We start from the raw sequence: 6,000 nt of genomic DNA on the forward strand, positions 1-6,000 counted from the left end.
ATTAGTTCTAATATTTTCTTTAGTTTCACACCAACATAGGCCTCCTGGCTGCTGCCACTATGGGTAGATGGGATCGCCCACTGATCTGGGCTTGTGAGTGGGGCCTGGACTGATCAAGGCTTCATTTCTCCTCCTCCAAACAAATCAGACCACCTGCAGGGAACCCGGTTACAGACCTGAGGCTGGAGGTCCCCACTAGGTCTCTGGTTGGCTTTCCTTTCCCTAGTCTTCTGGCCGGGGAGATCAGGCTTCTCTTGTTTGTTTTTAATCTATGTCTGTTGTCGGTCCCAGGTTGCAGATCCCTCCTGCACCCAATCTGAGAGATACAAAGAAAACCCAAGCACTCACCTCATTGTCATTCCTCAAGTCCTGAGGCCCATACCAAATCCTCCTTCTTTTCAGTTTTTAGGGTCCTTTTATAACTGTCTGTCAAATAATTTCCAGGGGATTTAGATATATTTGGAGAGGGGAAACTGAGTGTATGCCATCTGATTCTAGAACTGGAAGAGCTGGCATTTATTTTTGATGCCACTTTGCACCAGGCACTGCACTCAGCTTCCACGGCTAACCAACAGCAGACCCTCAGGGACTCTGATGACTGCCTGGACCATGGTGATGGGTCACCTCTGCTGTAAGGCTATTGGCTTCTCAGGGGTAGTCTTTGAGAAAGGTGAAGTTTCACAAACGTGAATGTTCCTTTAACCCAAAGTTTCAAAGTTGCTTTATTTAATTTCACAGGATGAAAAGTTTTCTCGACGTATTGCACAGTCACTAAATGGGACAAAATCTAAACTCCTCTGGGCACCCTCTACCCTTTGCTATGTTTCTGTCTCCTGTTCATGGTCCAGCTCAATAAGTGGGTCTCTCTTCTCCCCATTTTTTATACCTCTTTTCTCCCTAGACTTGCTGTCTGTCTGCCAGTTGTCACTCTGACATCAGGGTACCTACTTCTGGAAGGCTCTCATTTCAATCCTTACTTCTAATTTGCTGAGGGTCAAGGAAATAATATAACCAGGATTATATTATTGTATCTAAATGAAGAGTAAGTTGACTGGGAAGGCGCATCTAAGAGACATATATATTGTGAGCCAGAGCTTGGGTTCTTGGAGTTTTGATAATATTTTGGCAGTTCAGTAGCTGCTTTTACTAAATTCGTGTTATTGGCTGTGTTACAAATAATCAAGGCTAGAAAAGTGGCCTCTAGATAACTGGAGAATTTTTGCATTTACTTTGTAAACACCCTCTCCCCACAACCCCACTACATCCCCAAAAAAAACAACACTAAACAATTTTAGGCTCAAGACACAGACTCAAGTCCTTTTTGGGAAGAATACACAAGAGTGAAGATAGTTTTTTTCTACTTTTTACTACAAGAAAGCAACTGAAAGGGTATTTTACAACACTTTCCAAAAGAAAGTGTTTCTGTGCCAAAATCAAGCATGAGACATTTCATCCCAAAATGAAATCTGACAATGTCATGGGTAACTTAATTATAGCTCTTCTACAAGAAAAATAGTATGGAGGCAAAAGGGGGTTTCAGCTGAGCTTTGTGGGAAATTAAATCCAATTATAATTAGTATTAAATGTGTGTTGGATAATGCCATTTCCAAAATGTAGAACCCTCCTCTCCTAGACCCAGATTTTCATTCTGAGTCTCAGCGCCAGGGACCTTCCATCATTGAGAATCAGCCCTAAAAGTCCACAGCACAGGTTCTGGAATTAGGCCCAGCTGGTACACAGACCTGTGTGACTTCAGGAGACAAATATAATGATGGTTACACATTTCTAATCTCACCCATTTAGAGTCAAGACAGGTTCCTAAAATAATCACATACCCTGATTTCCTAACGGCCTTTGGCAAAGTTGCTGAACCTTCATTAGCAGCACATGTAAGGACCAGACAAACCACCCTTTCTCTCCACACTTCTGTCTCCCACTGATGCACAGTGAGAAGACTTATTTGGAGATTCGGCATCCCCCTCCAGATACCCTGAGCTGTCAGGTGATTGTAGAGCTATGCTGAAGCTTCCCTTTCCCACCTTGCACTGAATGATGTGGGCAATGACATCATCCTGGGGCCCTACTTCCTTTCTCAGGCTCAGCTTTCACCCCAGGGCTCAGAGAAAAGCAGCTTTTTAAGAAAACTGGCCCCCAGGAGCTGTTGTTTCTTTGGACTCTATCCTTCCACAGCAAGTGCAGCCCGGCACCAGTTTGAGCAATTGATTCAGGAGCAGCAGCTTCTGGATCTGGTTGTGCAAGAGAGAGAGTGCGTGTGTGTGTGTGTGTGGCAGGTGTACACGCAGATGCACAGTTTCCCAAACATAAACATCCTCATGGGTATTTTTTTCAGCTCCCAGAACTCCAAACAGCCTCTTAGCAGTGTCTCCATTCAATCCAAACTGCCCCATCCAATCCCTCCTCCTCACTCATACCACCCGGGTCTTTCTGAAACCCAAAACTAAGGGGAGTCATATCTCCCCTCCCTGTTCAGAACCATTTGGGAATGTACTGCCTCACTGCCTGGAACTGGGCTGTGGACCCACTGTCTACCTCCAAGCCTGACTTTCCCCACTCCTCTCCCTTTATGCTGCCCACTCACCTTTCAAGATTCAGTTAGGACTCATATCCTCTGTAAAATATTTTCCAACCAGTCCATCCATCTCCCCACCTCCGCACACAGAAACAACACCACATCATCTATTTTGTAAGCACTATCATCCTACACAGAGGTTTCTATGGGATAAAAAGCCCCTGCAAAGTACCTAGCCCATAACGGCACTTGACAAATGTTGGGCAAGTGAATGAACACATCTTGCAGCTGGCAGAGAATTCCAGGCCCTTATCTGAATTGAATAAAGGATACATCAAAAAGAAAAGTTTGAGGCCAAGGGGATCCCCCACATCAGGGAACCGTGCAGTGGGAGCCTGCTGGGTCCTCCAAAGAATACACATGTATCTCCCAAGAGGCCCGTCATGTGGATGGCAATGAGGCAGAGGGTGCTTAGGGCCAGAAAAGACCAACGGAGAAGGGCCAGAGCCATAGCCAGCTTCCCCCTTCGGCCTGCCCGGGCACAGGGGAGCTGCACACGGGGAGAGGCCAAAGGAGGAGGAAGGAAAGAGCAAACCTTATCTGCACCCGTGCCCAGTACTGCTTCCCAGAGCCTGAGATAGGCCTGTGTTGGAGGAAGAGACTCCCTTTCCTGTTCTCTCTCCCCTGAGTTCTTGGGTTCTCAAAAAAAAAAGAATCAGAGAAGACACTAACCAGAGCACATATACCTTCCTTCCCTCTCATCCCAAATCTCTGGAGACAAGAATAAAGTATGCTTTATAAAAGAAAACAATCCTTACCTGGGTCAGATAACCAGAAAGGGTGCTTAAAGGACCCAAAACTTATAAGACACCATGAGGGATGAGGTCAGATGGTGACTGAGCCCGCATCCACAGTGTCTTTGTCTGTTTTGTGTTGCTACAACAAAATACCACAGACTGGGTGCCTTATAAACACTAGAAGTTTGTTTCACTCGTGATCTGGAGGCTGGGAAGTCCAAGATCAAGAAGCCACATCTGGTGAGGGCCTTCTTGCTGTGTCATAACAGGATGGAAGCCATCACATGTGTGAGAGAGAGTGAGAGAAGGTGCCAAACTCACTCTTCATAAGGGCCCACTCTTGAGATAATAAGCCCATTCCCCAGATAACAACATTAATCCATTCATGAGGGTAGACCCCTCATGCCACAATCACTTCTTAAAGTTTCCATCTCTCAACACTGTTGCATTGGGGATTATGTTTCCAACACATCACTTTTGGGGGACACATTCAAACCATAACACACAGACAGCCTACTCTGCACAGCCTTGCCTGCCCAATACCACCCCTGTCATTAGACTGTAATAAAGGGGAAATAGCAGTCAGACAACCTTCAATACAAAAGTGAAAGGGACATCAACAAAAGCATAAGTATTTAAAGAAGACTATAATCCATCAGAAAAAAAAAAGCTTCAAACACACAAATAGAAAAATAAATTATCCAGAAAAAGAATTAGGAAGAAACAGAAGATAATCTTTAAATAGACATAATTAAACTGATACCAATCATAGGTATACATTCTTTTACAAATAGAAATTTAAAATGTTTAAAGTAAAAACTACTAAAAAAAGAACAAGTAAAATCTTCAAGGCATGAGAGAGGATAGGATTAATTTTTTTAGAAAAAGAAAAAGAAAATAAATTAAAAGAACTTAAAATCCTATACTCAACCAAACTATCATTCAAGTGTGAGGAAAAAGAAAACTGTTTCCAGTTATGTCATGGTAAATTAGATTGTTGCTTCCAATTATTCACTTTCTCCCTCCACTGTGGGACCCTATCAACCCCACCCCATTGGTTTTGGGCTTGGCCAGGTGACTTGCTTTGGCCAATGATATGTGAGCAAAAATTGGGGCGTGTCTGCATGGTTTTGCTGGCCTCTCGAGCTCCTGTGATTTGCCATGAGAAGAATATGCCCCAGGGAGCCACTGCTCCCAGAACCAGACACATGGAACAGACTCAAATTCAACTTACAGCTGGAGCTAAGCCCAGTCAAGCCCAACCAGAAGCAGACAAATTCCAGCTGACCCAAAGAGCCACAAACAAGGAAAATATATGTTTGCCATTATAAGTCACAAAGTCGTGTATTAATTATTAGATGGCATTAATGCAGCAACACCTGATTAATAGGGAAATAGGAAGTTTAATATTCAGGCACCTTCTCTGAAAGAATTACTAAAGGATAGCCTACAGCAAAATGCAGTATGATCCAAGAGACTGTCGGGGAATTTTTTTTTAAGTGGTAAGAAAAGAGCAATATATACTTACATCTAAACAACTATCAATCACAAGAAAAGACAATACTCTTGATGATCATTCCATATAATCTTAAATGAGAACTGGTGATGGCAGGGGAAATAAAAGTTAAGATTCTTGTTTTATTCAGACAATACAGTAAACAATGAGGAATATAGATGAAATTAAATTGACACTGAGAGAGGAAATAAGTGTCAATGTATAAATTACAGTTTTAGGAATAATCACTAGAAAAAAATGTATAATTGAGATATATTGCTTTCAAACCATTCGAATAAAAATGAAAGCAGCAAAAAGAAGAAAATCCAACAGAAGGTAAGAAGTTGTTTGGTTTTTTTTTTAATCAAAAAGGAGAAGAACCAGTAGCATTTTAGAGATAAAGTAACATGGCAAAAATAAATTCTAACAGATCAGTGACCAGTACAATTTCTCTGTAAAGGTAGAAATTCTGAGAATGAGGGACACTCCTGAAATAAAATAATGCAAGAAGGCTAAAGCAAAACAAACCAAAAGGCATCACAGGCAAACACTAACAAATAGATACCAGATCAATAATGTTAATTTCAGACAACAGAGTTCAAAGATAAAAGCATCAAAGGAGACAAATAAAAATATTTCTAATTTAAAAAAGGTAGAATCTATATAAAAATCATCTACCTTTAAGCAGCTAACAACTAATTCCAAAATATTTAATTTAAAAACTGATGATAGAAAGACAAGAAATGGATGAGTCCATCTCACATGGATATTTTAACCCACTTCTTTCAGAAATCAACAGATTGAATATACCCAAAAAAGTAATAATTTAGAAGATTTTTAAAATATTACCAACAGAAATTATTTAATAGAGAACTTTGTATCCAGCAAGCAGAAAATACACATAAATTGCAAACACACAAAACCTGTCCAAAAATGGATCACTATCAACTTCAAAGAAAACCTCGGCAGGTTTCTCAAAGCAGAAATCTCACAGGGCACCTTCACCAAACACAATTTCATAAAATATAAATTAATAGCAAAAGAAGAAACAAAAATCCAATTCATTTGAGAACTTTAAAACAACCTTTTAAAAAACAGTAAAACTCAAACAGGATTATAAACTATTTTAAAACAAACACAGGGCAATGCATATCAAAACCCATAAATTGCAGTCAGAC

This window comes from Homo sapiens, chromosome 2 (genome assembly GCF_000001405.40).
Source record: "Homo sapiens chromosome 2, GRCh38.p14 Primary Assembly".
NCBI lineage: Eukaryota > Metazoa > Chordata > Mammalia > Primates > Hominidae > Homo > Homo sapiens.